Source organism: Homo sapiens, chromosome 8 (assembly GCF_000001405.40).
Source record: "Homo sapiens chromosome 8, GRCh38.p14 Primary Assembly".
In the NCBI taxonomy this organism is placed as follows: Eukaryota; Metazoa; Chordata; class Mammalia; order Primates; family Hominidae; genus Homo; species Homo sapiens.
The window spans coordinates 31,019,631-31,036,386 of record NC_000008.11 but is presented as its reverse complement, the minus strand read 5'-3'; the positions used below and the strand labels follow the sequence as shown (position 1 = coordinate 31,036,386).

At 38.6% G+C, this 16,756-nt stretch overlaps 2 protein-coding genes across 9 annotated transcripts in view, besides 6 other annotated features; one reads left to right on the top strand and one right to left on the bottom strand.

Moving 5' to 3' along the window:
• WRN (WRN RecQ like helicase) overlaps positions 1-2,577 on the bottom strand; it is a 142,329-nt gene extending 139,752 nt beyond the window's left edge. For all 5 annotated transcript variants that reach the window (XR_949472.4, XR_949471.4, XR_949470.4 and 2 more), the window contains exon 1: positions 2,414-2,577. The gene's annotated coding sequence lies outside the window, so the exon portion shown is untranslated. The remainder of the gene's footprint in view (positions 1-2,413) is intronic.
• Positions 1,420-1,469: an enhancer, noted in NCBI's record as "active region_27216". NCBI's record gives its function as "activates an Ori minimal core promoter by ATAC-STARR-seq in GM12878 lymphoblastoid cells {active_cell/tissue: GM12878}" and the evidence as "EXISTENCE:reporter gene assay evidence [ECO:0000049][PMID:35858748]".
• Positions 1,540-1,609: a silencer, noted in NCBI's record as "silent region_19093". NCBI's record gives its function as "represses an Ori minimal core promoter by ATAC-STARR-seq in GM12878 lymphoblastoid cells {active_cell/tissue: GM12878}" and the evidence as "EXISTENCE:reporter gene assay evidence [ECO:0000049][PMID:35858748]".
• Positions 2,303-2,824: an enhancer, noted in NCBI's record as "H3K27ac hESC enhancer chr8:30891079-30891600 (GRCh37/hg19 assembly coordinates)". NCBI's record gives its function as "activates a minimal SCP1, AML or CMV promoter by ChIP-STARR-seq in primed H9 embryonic stem cells {active_cell/tissue: H9 hESC(primed)}" and the evidence as "EXISTENCE:reporter gene assay evidence [ECO:0000049][PMID:30033119]".
• Positions 2,303-2,839: a biological region, named in NCBI's record as "H3K27ac hESC enhancer GRCh37_chr8:30891079-30891600".
• Positions 2,580-2,839: a silencer, noted in NCBI's record as "silent region_19092". NCBI's record gives its function as "represses an Ori minimal core promoter by ATAC-STARR-seq in GM12878 lymphoblastoid cells {active_cell/tissue: GM12878}" and the evidence as "EXISTENCE:reporter gene assay evidence [ECO:0000049][PMID:35858748]".
• Positions 3,000-3,049: a silencer, noted in NCBI's record as "silent region_19091". NCBI's record gives its function as "represses an Ori minimal core promoter by ATAC-STARR-seq in GM12878 lymphoblastoid cells {active_cell/tissue: GM12878}" and the evidence as "EXISTENCE:reporter gene assay evidence [ECO:0000049][PMID:35858748]".
• PURG (purine rich element binding protein G) overlaps positions 3,031-16,756 on the top strand; it is a 37,555-nt gene continuing 23,829 nt past the window's right edge. Inside the window, exons 1-2 of one of the 4 annotated variants that reach the window (NM_001323312.2) lie at positions 3,031-3,309; positions 3,599-4,468. In NM_001323312.2, coding sequence (NP_001310241.1) covers positions 3,605-4,468 — 864 coding nt within the window. In that variant the 5' untranslated portion in view covers positions 3,031-3,309; positions 3,599-3,604. Of the gene's footprint in view, positions 5,547-16,756 lie in introns of those variants that run through there. The other 3 variants (NM_001323311.2, NM_001015508.3, NM_013357.2) reach the window with 3 other exon arrangements.

Sequence of the window (16,756 nt, the reverse complement as noted above, 5' to 3'; positions counted from 1 at the left end):
CTACAGGGTATATATTCAAGGGAAATGAAATCAGTATGTCAAAGAGCTATCTGCACTTCCATGTTTCCTGCAGCACTATTCAACAATAGCCAGAATATGGAATCAAGCTAACTGTCCATCAACAGATGAGTGGATAAAGAAAATGTGATATACATATACAATGGAATAGTATTAAGCCATAATAAAGAATGAAATCCTGTCATTTGCAGCAACATGAATGGAACTGGAAGACATTCTGTTAAGTGAAATAAACCAGGCAGGGAAAGACAAATATCGCATGTTCTCACTTATATGTGGGAGCTAAAAAATTTGATGTCATTGAGGTAGTAAGTAGAATGGTGATTACCAGAGGCTGGGATGGATGGGTGGTGGGAATGAAGAGAGGCTGTTAATGAGTACAAAAATACAGTTAGATAGAAGGAATATCATAGGGTTTGAGAGCTATATAGAGACAAAAAAATAGGTAAGTGATTGCTAGGAAAGCGGGTGGGATTGAGTACTAATGGTTATGGAGATTCTCTTTTGGGTAATGAAAAAGTCCTAAAGGTAATTGTGATAAAGGTTGTACAACTCTGAAGACAAACTAAAAACCATTGTATTGCACACTTTAAATGAGTGAATCATATGATATATTAATTATATCTCAATAAAGCTGTTTAAAAAAGAATTCTGAGTGGAATTGGCCAGATACAAAAAAGACTAAGATGGCAAATTTTATGATATCTTACTCCAATTTTTTAGAAACATAATTCAGATCACGTTTCCCTAACAACTCTCCAACAGCTTCCCATCTCCCTCAGAATGAAAGCCCCAATTTTCAATATAGCCCATAAAGTCCTACACATTCTGGCCCCTTTCCCTTTCTGGCCTGACCTCTGACCTCCTCTCCGCTCTGCTCCAGCTCACTAGGCCTCTTAAGTTGCTCTCTGAACATAAAGAGGCAGGTTCCCCCAGGGCCTTTGTACTTTCTTCTCCTCCAGAGAACGTCAAGGTAAGTTCTCTCACTTCCTTGAGCTCTGGACTCAAAAATTCCCTTCTCAGCGAGGACGTCCCTGACCACTTATTGTAAAACTGCAGCTCCCTACAGCCCCCCACCCACAACACACACACACACTCTTCATCCCCCTTTCCTTTTTAATCTCTATTTTCACCTTCTGTCATCCTATAATTTTACTTTTTGCCTGTCTCTTTCCACTAAAATGTAAGCTCCAAAAGGAGAGAGATGTTTGTCTGTTTTGTTCATTGTTGGTATCTCTAGTGCCTAGAGCAGTCCTTAATAAACATTTGTTGGATTAATAAAGGGAGACCACTGTGGGGGAAAAAAAATAAAAGAAAATAAAATTTTAGCTGAAGAATGCAAGCCCCTTTAAATTATCAGGCCCAGAGAGGCATTAGAATGAAAAAACAGTCCCGTCTCACTCCCGGTCTGAGCTGGATAATTATCTCTTAAAGCCCACCTGCTATATGGGCTCTAGACTGGAACCAAGAAGCCATAAAATGCCATATGCTGGACACGATAACTCATACCCTATGAGTTACAGTGTACAGCCAATCACTAAGCAATGGTATCTCTGTAAACCAATAACAATTCCTGACCAACTTTGTCTCAGCCCACTCTTCCCCTTCGCCTTTAAAAACCTGCTTGTAACCAAGGCTGAAGGAGCACTCCCCAAGGCAACTGGGAAATGAGTCCTGGGCAGCTGTCCTCATTTTGGCTGAAGTAAACACTTTAAATTATAATTTTGTGCCCCAGCCTCTTCCTTTTAGGTAGACACCACTATTCAATGACATCAAGATCTGAACTGTCCTACTTATCCCAATATCCCACCCCTAAAAAGAAATGTACCGAACCATAAAAAGCCTGAAGTACTCCGACTTACAGACTCCTGTATTAGCATCCTAAGAATTATATTACCCTCTTCAATAGGGAGTAGTATTTTTCATATCAAACCTAGCCTGAGAACAACTGAGATTCAACTAGGAAAAAAAGAAAAGAAAATCCATTAAAGACTGAGTGATTTGAACTCAAAAATATCCATCATCACTTGCTAAATCATAGACAGCAGGTTATTTCCCTCGACTTTGCTGTGCAGACCTGTAGTGGCTCAATTTCTGCCATAATAAAGGCCGTACTAGAAAGAGCAATCCTAACTAAGCGCGCAAGGTAAACATCAAGCTGGGGCCGTCAGGGGCGGGGAAACACTTTCTGAATGGCGGAAGCTCCGAGAGACGCCTTTCCCAGCTGCTCCAGAGGGGAAAGGAAAAGGGAGAAAGTCTGTTTTTCCAGAATCTCCCAAACACAGCCCAGGGGCCTGCTCCGCGGGCCTAAGCGCCTCCACGTGTCTCAGAAGCCTAGCACTATAGATACCCCGGGGCACGGAGCTGGGAAAACGGGAATAGGAAGACACTTTACCCCGAGAAGATCCAGTCCAACAGGTCTTCTTCAGCCGGATGACTGTGGAGCGCCACCACAAGCAGGGCCTGCAACCCAGGCATCCAGGCTAGACACCAAATCAGCAAACTTTATTCCCGCGCTGCCGAGTACAAGCCGGCGCCTCCCCGGCGCACACAGTACACATCAGCTCCGGGAGACCTACCCGACCCGCCCCTCCAGCGCCGTCCCCGCCCCCGTTCCTGCCCCACCCCTTTCCCCGCCCCCGGCCCGGCTCGCCTTTCTCGCGGCGCTGCAACCCTCCCACCACAGCCCATCCAGCCCCGCCCAGCGCGCCGCGGTGCGCATGCGTGGAGGCCCTCGCTGCCGCTGAGCACCTCGGGAAGTGTAGTCTCTTCGCAGGTGCGGCTGGGCAGCTAGAGTCCTGCATCCCGGTGGAATCCGGAGAAGTGAGAACATTCCCGCCGCCCGGTCCTCATTCCCATCTTCCCACCTGTCCAGTCCCCTCGCACTCCCGCTGCACCCCACGCGCCGGGCTTCAGTCAGAGAGTGCACTGAGGAAGAGCGGAGACCCCCTCTTCCCCTCAGCAGGCTGTGCCGGGGGAGGCGGGGTCCACCGCCCGCCCCCCGCCGTCGCTCTCCCCGCCTCCCCTTCCCTCCCCTCCTGGCGGGTGCGGGGCCGGTGTCCGAAGTCAGGCGGCGGCCCCCGCAGCGGCCGCAGGAGGGGCGGCTGCGGTGGGCGCCGCGGGCGATGCCCCTGCCCGGCTGCTCCGGCGGGGGGCAGTGCGAGCGGCGGCGGCGGGGGAGGAGGCGGGGGGCGGCGGCTGCGGCGGCTGCAGCAGAGGGGCCGAGAGCTGGCGGTGGCGGCGGCGGTGGTCGTGAAGGGCATCGGCGGCGGCGGTGATGGCAGAGATGATGTGAGTGCCCGCCGGCTGGAGACCTGGGGCCGCGGAGCGCGGGACGGGCGGCGGCGGCGTGCGGGAGCGGCCCCGGGGGCGGCGGAGGGATGCGGGGAGCGCGGGCAGAGCCGGAGCGGCGGCCGCCAACCGGCCGGCAGTGGCTGGAGCCCCGCGCTGCGGCGCCGGGGGAGCCGGGCCCGGCGTGGGGGTCGCGGGCGGCGGCGGGGCGGTCAGGCCGAGGGGCGTCTGCGATTGTTCTCAACACCCCTCCCCCACCCCATCCCGTGTGTCTGTTTGTTACTTGCAGCTGAAGATGGAAAGAGCCAGGCGAAGGGGAGGCGGCGGCGGCCGCGGCCGCGGAGGCAAGAATGTAGGGGGCTCTGGCCTAAGCAAGAGTAGACTCTATCCCCAGGCCCAGCACTCCCACTACCCCCACTACGCGGCCTCAGCCACCCCTAATCAGGCCGGGGGCGCAGCCGAAATCCAGGAGCTGGCCTCCAAACGAGTGGACATCCAGAAAAAGAGGTTTTACCTAGACGTGAAGCAAAGCTCCCGGGGCCGCTTCCTAAAGATAGCCGAAGTCTGGATAGGGAGAGGCCGGCAGGACAACATCAGAAAGAGTAAACTGACCCTCTCCCTGTCTGTGGCAGCGGAGCTGAAGGACTGTCTAGGGGACTTCATCGAGCACTATGCCCACCTGGGCCTGAAAGGCCACCGGCAAGAGCATGGCCACAGCAAAGAGCAAGGCTCCAGAAGGAGGCAGAAGCACTCGGCACCCTCCCCACCAGTCTCGGTGGGGTCCGAAGAGCATCCTCACAGTGTCCTGAAAACAGACTATATCGAGAGGGACAATAGGAAATATTACCTAGACCTAAAGGAAAATCAGCGGGGTCGCTTCCTACGGATTAGACAAACCATGATGCGGGGGACTGGCATGATAGGTTATTTTGGCCACAGTTTGGGCCAAGAACAGACTATTGTCCTCCCAGCACAAGGAATGATTGAGTTTCGTGATGCCTTGGTTCAGCTGATTGAAGACTATGGCGAAGGAGACATAGAAGAACGAAGAGGTGGAGACGATGACCCGCTTGAACTCCCAGAGGGGACTTCTTTCAGAGTGGACAATAAAAGGTTCTACTTTGATGTGGGCTCTAATAAATATGGAATTTTCCTGAAGGTAAGTGAGGTGAGACCACCTTACCGTAATACTATTACTGTTCCATTCAAAGCTTGGACAAGGTTTGGGGAGAATTTTATCAAGTATGAAGAAGAGATGAGGAAAATTTGCAACAGCCATAAAGAAAAGAGAATGGATGGCAGAAAGGCCAGTGGTGAAGAACAAGAATGCCTCGACTAGAGTGAAATTGAACTCCATCAGGCAAAATTTAAAATCACAAATTGGCTAAAAGTACTGATCCATTATCCTTTGAAGAAGTTTTTCCTCTTTTTTGGCCCGTTGTTATTAGTAATACCTCTAGTAGTTGATACTTCAGGAAGTCTGATTCTCATGTTATGTTACACATAGATCACTATAATTCTTACGGGAATTCCAACCTTCCCAGAGCTAAATAGTTTAGCTGCTTCAACTGCTCCAGACTATTGAAGTATGCAAATCAGCACAAAATGTGACATTCTGACATTCTAAATACCATAACTAAGATTTACATTGCACTATGACATAATCCCGAAAAAAGATACATATACTTAAATAGAAGTGTGACTTTCCCCCAAAAGTATTTCAATTCTACTTCATTAAAAGCTGCTAAGCTTACCTGTAGGGCAGTTACCACAGAAACAGAAATTGACCTCCGGTATATATAAATATTTACTTATAAAAGTACAAGTAGACGTATATTGTCCGTTGAATAACTGAATATACCATCAAAGGATCAAATCTTATTACCTAATTAAACCTTAAAAATATAATGTCATAATATTTCTTAAGAATACTATAGTATTCTATAATTTCAAACTTTGTGGTAACCCTACATTTTATAGTTGCCATATCAAAGCCATGGGAGAGTTTTAATTCGTTATTCTAAGTTTAGTTACAATCCCTTCTTTACCTCTACTTAATGTTCCATATATTTTTATTGACTTTCCAAAGTTTCAGGAATTACTTTTATGTCACATTGAGTGGGAGGCTTCATCCAATGGCTTTGCTATGGAAATCTTGGTGGTGTAGCTTTTCATGCTAATTTAAAGATTGCAAGAGGTTTCTTCCCCAAAATATATCATGGACTCAAGGTGTTATACTTTATGCTTCTTCTTTAACACTCTTTCAGAAGGGTTGGTGTACCAATTAACTGATATAAAAATATACCTGTAATAATATATTTTAGTAGCACTTTTGCAATTGCTACCCTTAAAACCATGTCAACACTTCCAATATAATCCTGAATTTTACAGGTGTTTTAATTCTGGAGGGGGTGGGGATTTTTTTTTTCTAAAAATAATTTAGAATACAAATTTCCAGTCTGAGAAAAATATTATTTGAAGATTGGTTATAAATATATTTGAAAGGAAAATTCAGGCATTTTCCAAGGTGCTCTTTCTGACTTTACACAAGACTCACCCATTTACCTGTATTAAAAATTACTTTCCAGGAAGTGCCACAGCAATTTTTCAACACCTAAGCAATTTTTTAAACAAGTGGATATAGTGTTATATGTGTACCAACCCATCCTGTATTAATTGACTGAAATTACATCTATTCAGCTATATTTTCTTCTGAATGAAATTATTGTCTTTTATCTTGGCTTTATTCACCTCCCACACAATAAGTCCATCTAATCATATTTAAGAGCCAGAACACTGATTTCAACCCCCAAATATCACTCTCATTGATGAGAGCTGGCTGCATGGATTCAAATCAGAATGTAGCTCTTCTTTTATATGCTAAAAGTAATTTAAAATTATATCAGCGATTTTTTTCTTCCAGAGTTTTGTCCCCCAATACCTTTACGTGAGGTCACTAAGAAAACTTGATGGTATGAATTAAAAAAATTAATTTCATTGGTTTATGTTACTTAAGAACAAGCAATCAGTAACCCCGACATATATACTAGTGTTGGTTTGCAGATTGTATTTCACATTTCCTCTAGTAGCGTGAAGGAATCTCATTAGTTCATTATAATTGTGGACCATCTGGATCACTATGGAACAACTGAAGGTTAGGAGATAATGTTAGTACTAGAGCTAATAGCACATGGTGGGTGTTGAGACTCTAAAAGTAGCAAGGATTTTTAAACAGTCCTAACTGTAAAATAACTATGTAGGCTTGCTAAAAAAGTAGTTTTTGGTCTATGAAGGAATGATGTGCACTTGAATTACTGTACTACTGATTGTTATTGCTGCCCATCATAGTGCCTATTAATAATAATCAACCTGTCAGATTTTGGCAAACTGGAGCTGTGAATATTCTAGTATTTGATTGTTCCTATCGCTATTGCTATGAGTGTATACACTCTCTTAAAGTCTTCCTTTCTAAAATATTTATATCCATTAGGTCTAAATGATTTCCTTTTACCTTTTGGGTCTGATAAGATTTGGGTATGTGTCTATATCTATATATATACACACAGACATATGTATATACATGTATACATATATATGTGTGTATACATACATACAATACCATGTCAGACTTAAAGATAAATATCTTTAACTCATTGTATATAAACATTATTAAATTTAGTTTTCCATTAATTATTTAAGTAAAGAATTAGTTAAGCAGCCAGATTTTCTACTTTGTATGTATACTTCAAAGTTTTTACCATCTCAAAGCTGCAGATTAAATAGATGCATATATACTGGCAATTGAGTATACTCTAAAATTATTAAGCCTTCTGCCAGTCCTTTTGTTTCATTTTTTTCATAGTTAATCATTCAAAAATGAGATGATGCTATGACTTTTTGATACTTAAAATTCCCAAGAATTCATTAGCCGTAATTAAATATGATCCAGTTCAAAACTCTGGTCTTAGGACATGTATTGCCATGTATCTTATAAAATAAGCTACTATTCTTATCTGTGCAATATGCATTTTATTTATTGTCATTTGTAACATACATGGAGCTGCAAGTGTTCATGGTATCCTTCAAAATAACAGAATCCCTGCCTTGAAGACATTAAACTCTTAAGGCAACTGGAAGTTAGAAGTTAAAAAATGAGCATGAAAGTTAGTAACCAAAAGTACTAGTTCACTGTATAATTCTAAAACACTGATGATGTTTGCACCTAATAATCCAAGCATAATGTGGTACAGGCTCAAACTGTAGTAATATAAGCTAATAGTATGAAATTTGGAAACGGGTTCCTCTTGATAGTTGGCAGTGTGCTCCTAGCAATCGAAAGCAGCACTAATCTGTTGCTTTATGCAAAAGATGCAATGTATTATAAAGATATTAAAGTTCCTCTACATTTTATAATTTTCCTTGTTAAAGCCCCAGACTGCCATGTCCCTGAAACTTGAGTCAAACACAAGCTTATTTGCACTAAAGAGCATGGCCAAAAAAATAAATGACAGGGTGGAAAAGCTAGTTGGAACCTCTTGAAATAATTGGTTCTAATATGAGAATTTCACATTTGTCTATTTGAAAGCTGTATGGTCCAGGCAGACAATCTGTCAGTTCACTAATTTAATAATGCACTTTACCTTTTGTATATAGAAGATGTACATTTATGCCACTTGACAGGTGGGATGTGTTTCAATAACTATGTAGCTAGAATCTATAAGGTGATCCCGTGCATGCATATGTTTGTGTTGGAACTGTTGTTGTAACAGGTTTCCATTAAATCAGTGTAATGGAGAAGGGTAGAAGATGCTTTTGAAACAAATCCCAGTATATTTAACAAAGAATTTTAAAGTAGAGTTCACATTTGATGTCTTAAGAACTAGAATAAATAAAATACTATTTCTAACCCAAATTCTTATTACAGTTGAGACTATATTTAGTTGAGATTCCCCACAGTGCCCTGACAGTTAATTTGGGGAATTTGTCTAGACAAAATTTTTTTCAATCATTGTTTCATTGTTGATATGTGTTTAAGTAATGAATAAATATGCAGTACATAATATTATACTCAAATTAAAAGTGTGGTTAGCTGATGTGGCATTATTTAAAGAACATTCAGACTAAAGAAGTAAGGTTTCAAGTTAAGGAAATGCAAGGAACCTATGAACAGTCACTAACACAAATATGATATCTCAGAATTCACAGAAGTACTAACCTTCCCCAACTAAAAAGGGTATTGGGGGATTTAGTGTATCCTTCCATCTTAAAAGCTTCTTAAGATGTACATTTGAAAACTAGATAACTGTTGCTTAATAATACTTTACTGAGAAACACTGTGTACTAACAATTCATCAAGAGTGTGCTATATTTACTGAGTTCATTTTATATCTATAGATAAGAATAAATTATATAGTCATCCTACCTTAATATAATCATGTATTTATATTGTAATTTTGCAAATATTTTCCATAAAATAAACATTTATCTGAGCTGCACAATTTGAAGAGGATGAAACTGGAATATACCCTCAGATGCTCATTTTAAATAAGCAGCTACCATTGAAAGCTGATGTATGTATTATCATTCCTTTAAATTTGGGTTTATGGTATATTTTAATATTTAAATGAATAGGACTTAATTTGAATTTTAAGTGGTTTTCTGAAAATAATTTTTTCATAAGTGTGAGCTTTTTTTCCTTCTTATCTCCAAATGTTTTTCATTGGAACTATTTATGAAATCCTATTCAAAGCTTTATGTAAGGGGTTTGCTTAGTCACCACTTAGTTTGAAGTCTGTCTTTACTAAAACACCAAACATCTTTGACAACATACAAAGAGGAGTTAACATTGATTCTATGCCTACAGAATAATACAGGTGTAATATTTATCACGGCCTGAAAAGGATCTTAAATCCTTCTGAAATTTCCTTAAATATTTCTTGAATTTCAAAGAGAAATGGTGGCTAATGGCTAGCCCATCAGAGAAAAAGAATAAGTATGTTAACATGCTGTTGAAACAACTCATAGTCCACCATACTGTAGCAATGAAGTTCAGGGAAAATGTGTTTTTCCCAACTTAATATCATGTGAAAATTGGGTTTTCAGATCACAGTAACTCTGTCGTAAAGAAAATATACCCAAATTTAGTAGGTAGAGCTTAGAAAAATAATATAAGTATATATTTTCATGTATAATGGAAAAAATCCGTACTTGTTATTAATTTGACATGCTATTTTAAATCATTTAAATTTATTTTGGTAATGAGATTTTAATCAATATTTTTGAATAGGGAAAAACATACATATAGTACAAAATGGAAACAGTACAGATGGGTAGAGGGTGAAAAGTAGCAACCAATGTTAGCAATTTCTTGTGTATCCTTCTAGAGTTACTCTGCATATACAAGTATATGTGTATGTATATATATATATATATATATATATTCTTTTTAAAACATACAGATGAAAACATATTATATATACTATCTTGTACCTAGTAGATTCAATTTCAGATCTGTCATTTTAAGTGACTTTTTTTTAACTTAGATATCATACTTGAGCTAGTTAACATATCACTTAATTTGAAATATATTAACTATACCAAGGAAATATCAAGGAAATTTTGAATGAATCCCATTGGTATTTACTTAAAGTGCAAATATATGTGTATTTTAAATATACAAATATTCAGTTCATCCTACTAGTTTCCTTTCTCTCTTCCTAGCCATCTTGCCTTCCTGTATTCCCCTCACAAATATATTGGTCTTTTTCCTGAAGTAGTGCACTTCAGGAGTGCCAGGATATTAAATAATTTAACCAAGTGTTATCTTAAACCGTATTCCCTAATGAAAAACACCCATATTTAAAAGCTTTAATAAAGTATCACGTTCAGTCAATTTTTACTAATTCTGTTACTATTATCTTTATCCAAAGACCTTGCCCTTATAAGAGCAAATGAGTATTAGAACTATAGTAAAAAGGTATATTTCTGTTGAAATACTTTATTAGCATGAAGCCTTTATCTTTATGAGAAAGGTATAATGTTCATTTAGCAACCTCATCAAATCCAAGTTTAAGCAAATAGGTAACTCTAGACCCGATTGTTTAAAGCATTGATTTTTCACTGAAGGACCAAGAGTCTGTCAGTAGTCTTGGGACCAAAGGCAGTGGGATGATTTGGGGAATGAGTAAAAACTGGAGTGCTGTGAGGTTACAAGTACAGCTAAACTGTCTCTCTGGTGGAAGAATATAAAATGGTCAATATAATTTTTTAATGAAGTTAGCATTATTACTAGTCCTATAAACATAAACAAAGCTGCCTTAATAGTTTTGTGAGCACCCGTCCCCAAAAATCATAATTCTCTTTTCATTCCCATCAAGAGTGCATTTTGATATGACTTTTCTATTGACCACCAAGAAAAAATTATCTGAAAAATGAAAGATCCCATACTTGAGTCCTGAAAGATGCTATCTAATTATGAATTAAAGCAACCAGAGTAAAAGATCCAATACAATTGTAAATATCTTTAAAAATGTGGGTTGAGGAAGAAGAATTTTTTCATGGATTGGTATCCGTGAATTTTATGAACATGTCATAAGGTTTAAAAATTTAAAGCATTGCTTTAAACTTTAGAATAATAACTCTATATTTGGTAGCATAATGTCCTGTTTACAAAATGAAAGAGGTGTTGTTAAAAGATAAGATCCTCTTAAACATATTTTAAAAGCATAAAAGTTTGCTCCCTTTATTTTCATGCTGAATAATTCATTATAAAATTCATTAAAAATTCATCTTTAGGAATGAATTTTGCTTAAATTTAGGCTAAAGCATATTAATAATTTCCCATCCTTAATTGAAGAGCTTCCCATGTTGGTGCTTTCTGGTAAATTATATTTTTCAAACTTTATGTTCTTTTGAATATTTCTTATGAAAAATTACATATTTTTATTGAGGCCAGTGACATCCACCAGTAAATAAAAACATAATGAATTAGTGCTGCTATAGTGAAGTTACTTTGTGATATGAATATGAAGAAAAAAACTCATTTAAATGGAATATATACTTTCCTGTTTAATATTGTTTACTTATTTCTGATTAAGTAGCAGTTCTCTGTCTTCACATTTTACCCTCTTAAACTTAATTTTTGCAAAAAATTTTTCTATTCGGTTTTCATTTTCCTAGGGAAAGGGAAAAATTGTCCCTGATGAAAAGTGTTTATAGTATTTAAAAGAGTTGCTCAAAGTGTAAGACTGGGGAAAAAAAGCTTATGTTGTTTTTTTTGTCTTTATCAAAATAATGGTATAAATCTGATTATCTTACTTGATCTGATTAAAGTCAGGATTACTTTTATCAGAAACTTTTATATTCAAAACATATTTAGTATTTTATTTTTCTTAAAGAAAATGGTTCTCTTGGATAATACAGAAATCTTCAGGATTTTGTTGTGGATTCAATGAGGTTGTTGCCTAGAGGTGGCAAACAGAAAAGAAAAAATAGAAAAGAGAAAGACAGTGGCTGATTATTTTGCTTGTCTGTAACGAAATTCATCTAAGAGAAATAAGTCATTCTCAAAACTCAACCTCTGTTTAACCTTTAAAAGAGCATTTGAGAAAGAATAATAAGACGTAATTCTGCCAAGGTGCGGCCTGACCCTGAGTAAATCATTCAACTTCTGTTGGATGATTTCCTCATGTGAAAGATGAACAGTATTGTGCTGGAAGCTAAGGTTCCCTCCTACTCTAAATGTTTAAAATTCTGTATCAGTGGACTGTGAAAGGAAAAATAGATGGATAATACCAGAGTTGGAAAGTGTGAGAGTTTATCTGTTTACATTAAAAACAACTATAATGATGCAGCAACCTGTGATGATACCCAACGGAACAATGCAAAAAAATGTCAGTTTTATAATATGTATGTATTTCTTTAGCCACACAAAATAAAATTTTGTTTCTAGTCCTTATTAAGACCAAGTTGTTGTATACTAACTACGTAACTATCCTAAACTTTAATTTTTTAAAAGGAATATTTTTAAATATTGATTATTTCCCATCTCCTTATTATATCAAATATCTCATTATTTGGAAGGAGCATTGCTTTTTTCTGCATATTCTGTAATCATTTTTTATATTCTGCATGGCAAAGGAATTTTACAGATTAATATCACTTCCTGAAATGCCATTTTTCCTAAAATAACCATAGATCACATTGCCAAATAATACTGCAGCTGTCATGGTAGTGGTCCCTACTGTCTTCGATTCCTTTTTGTTGATCCTGTCCAATATCCTATGCTAGAAATAATGATGTCTGACAAAGACCATCAGAAAGGATACTGACCTGTGAACTGTATGGTTCTGTTTTAGAGGACTTGTAACTACTAGGGTATGCAAAGATTAAACATCTAATGGTTTGGGGGTTTTTTTTAGCCTTAAGAAACGTCAAAGGATGGTGATTGGAAAAGAGAAGAAGCAGCACACAAGGGTTTTGTCTTAGAAGCATTTATTTTATTTATTTATTTATTATTACTTTTTTTTTTTTTTGAGATGCAGTCTCACTCTATCGCCCAGGCTGGAATGCAGAGAAGCATGTATTTAAGCACCCCAGTCCTCAGCTATGCAGTGCCCCGCCACTGCCAGTGAAGAGGCTTAAAAAAGAGTGACATGTTTCTCCCTAGACCTCTCTTTTAGTGCCTATTTGTTTATCAGAGACTCCATTTAAGGGTAACTGAAGTGTATTTTCAAGTGCATATGCATGTGTATTTTGCTAATTTCAAAAGTTTCTGTGCACATAAATTCCATTACGGAAACATTCCATATGATAACTAATCTTTGCCCTGGTGGTGGTTCAAAATAGCAATTTGGTTGGTCTGTTTTCAACAAATTCTATAGAATGAATTGGCTGTTGTTAGAAAATGTTTTCTCTCTTTTCTCCTCCCTCTTCTCAAAATAGCAGATACATTTTAAATCCTTGATTGCTTCTTTTTCAGTGGTGTTTGAAATCTAAGTGGGATTTGAGAGAATAGTTTAGTTTGGCAGTTCTTTACCCTTGCCATTTTGTAGAAACTTTCCTCAGCTTCCCATCAGATATTCTAAGCAACTTTACCAAAAGAAGTCACCTACGTGCCAAAACTGCCGAGCAAAATAAAACAACAGAGCCATAGAAAATGATGTAGGAGTAAGGATAAAGATATATACAGACACCCAAATTCACAACATTCCTTATCATTTGCTAATTTACTTCAGAGACTGTTGTATTTTATTTCTTGGTTCTTCAAACTAGCAATGTGGTTTATTCCAATGATTTGTCAGTCTAGAATGTCAATAGAACAAAATCTTTTGCTGCTTAGTAAATGTTCCAAAAAGGGTATCTCATGTTATAATCAGTTGTAAAAATAGAATTCTAAAATTCCATTCATTATAATCCTCTTTCCTTCTTCCCTCCTGTACACTGTACCCTATTGGAAGTGGGTAAGGGCATTAATTTCTTTCACTATCACATGGACCCACTCCATCCTATTTATTTGTTCAGAAGACAATTGAAACATAATAGAGACCAGAGCTGCTCTTTGAAAATCTAGAAATTGCCCTGTGAGCTTGATCTATAGACTGTAAGAAAGAAGGGTTACTACTTCACTGAACTGTTCTCCACGCTCTTGCCAGATTTCTATATGACAGTTTAGGATGAATAGAAAACAGATTTGACTTGGGATGACATGAACTGAAAGGTCAGTTCCTCCAGCTTTTCAATACACAGTGCATCTTCAGAAAATATTTTTGACGAGCATGATTGACAGGTAATTTCAGAAATGAATTTAGGCTGGGTGTGGTGGCTCATGCCTGTAATCCCAGCACTTTGGGAGGCCAAGGCGGGCGGATCACTTAAGTTCAGGAGTTCAAGACCAGCCTGACCAACATGGTTAAACTCCGTCTCTACTAAAAATACCAAAATTAGCCAGGCATGGTGGCACGCTCCTGTAATCCCAGCTAGTCAGAAGGCTGAGGCAGGAGAATCGCTTGAACCTAGGAGGCGGAGGTTGCAGTGAGCTGAGATGGCACCACTGCACTCCTGCCTGGGCAACGGAGTGAGACGCCATCTCAAAAAAAAAAAAAAAAAGAAAGAAATGAATTTGGTCCCTAGAGAAGTTTCACCATGACCATTTTAAAAGAGCAGGTGGTAAGAAAAGGAAGAGTCAATTAAGATTTATTAGTAGTAATAACTATTGCTTATGGACCACCCACTGTATACTAGACATAGCTGGGCCCCTTATAGCTACTATTCCTAATCCTTATAACAACCCTATTATCCCCATTTTCATATGATTTTCCAGAGGTTTATAAACTGGTTCAGAATATCAGAACTAATGTATTTGAACCCAAATTTACACCAAAGCCAACGATTGTGCCCGTTCAGTTAGGCCAAACTGCCTTTCAGATTTCCTATGAAGCTGATCCTTCCAACTCTAATAAAGCACAGTCTACCCCCAGCCGCCACTATACATCTGCCTCAGCTTACTTGGAATTATTTTATCCAAAACCGTCCCCTATATGTGGGACTAGTCTCACCAAAGAGACACTTGGCTTATATGAGGATTCCATTGGTTAAAGTTGGTGCTAATAAATACAAGTTATTTGATCTTTAGTTTACAGATAAAACCTCTAATCTTGATCAACTATTTCCAATAAACTTTTTAAAGGGATCATAACTTTTTAAAGGGATCAGATCATAAGAATGTAGAAGAGCTTCACAGTTTCATCCCTAAGGGCAGAGAGGAGACAAATTACTATTCACCATGGGTCTACAATTTCATTTTCATGAACCAAAAACAACTGGTTACGTTATCTTAGTTTCAAAATAAATCTTATCAATATTTTTGGAAGTTTTATTGATTTCTTACAACTTTTTCCTGCCATCTTATTGATGTCTCACAACTTTTCCTGCCATACTCCTCCCTATATCATTCCACTCATTTTCATATTTAATTACCAAATTTCCTCCTCTTTCTCTTAATTCCAGTACAATAAACAGATAATTCTCCATTTACAGATACATATTTTTCCCCATTACTATAGGGCACTAATTTTCAAACTTCAGTGTGAATACAAATCATCTTGATGGTTTGTTAAACCACAGATTGCTGGCCCCAGCTCAGAGTTTCTGTTCAGTAGGACTGGTGAGGTGGGGAGAAGACCAAGAATATGCATTTCTAACAGTCCTAAGGAGAGTGGATGCTGTGATCTAGGGGGACCGCACTTTAAGAACCACACTGCTGTCAGCTGATGAGATTTTACCTTAGCTACAGAAGATAGTGATGGAAAAACTCGGTCAAAACAACTAGGGTATCTGGGTAGAAAGAAGACTGAGAGCTACTCCTTCTTCTGCCTTGACAAGCTTACAAATCTTGAAACAAGCAACTTTTTAATAAGTTGACCAGAGTTTTGTAAAAAATTATTTTCTTCCCTTTTGAATAACCTTTCTGATTCCCTCTCATTTTTCAACAGCTATCTTGAGAGAAATCTGATAGGAATTAACAGTTATGAAGCCTCATGTGAAAAGCTTAGCTTTTAAATATATGGAGACTGATGCATATTTTTAATTTATTTTGTAATTATAGTATATAAATCTTGGTAAAGAAAAGTGAACAATTTCTCTACCTAAGAATTATTAATACAAGTTTAATGACTATTAAATATTAGGACTTAAAAGACCTTGGAATTAATTTAATCCCTTAGTTTTCCATTTTGTGACATACATCATGTAGCTCAAATTGTTCATAGTTACTAGAATACGCTAAGTAAACAGAATTTAAAGGCTAGAGCTTAAATTGCTGATTATCTCAAGATATATAAATGGTGAGAAATATACTAATTTCTTCTAAAAGCATATCGCATTTTTACCATCTTCCTGTATCCTCTCTGTACGTATAGAATGGAGGAACTATATACTGTACTGTGTTTATAGTACCTTTTTTTGTCTTCAAACTCTGCCTCCCAGGTTCAAGCGATTCTCCAGCCTCAGCCTCCCGAGTAGCTGGAATTACAGGCGCGTGCCACCACGCCCAGCTAATTTTTGTATTCTTGGTAGAAACAGGGTTTTGCCATGTTGGCCAGGCTGGTCTCGAACTCCTGACCTCAGGTGATCCACCCGCCTTGGCCTCCCAAAGTGGTGGGATTATAGGCATGAGCCACCACCCCCAGCCTACAGTACTTTTCTTTAGATCAGCAATTGAACTCACTGCTTTAAAATTAGAGATATTGGGCCAGACATGGTGGCTCACGCCTGTACTCCCAGCACTTTGGGAGGCCGAGGCGGGTGGATCACAAGGTCAGGTGTTCGAGACCAGCCTGGCTAACATAGTGAAACCCCATCTCTACTAAAAATACAAAAAATTAGCCAGGCATGGGGATGACAGAGTGAGACTCCATCTCACAAAAAAAAAAGAAAAAAGAGATATTGG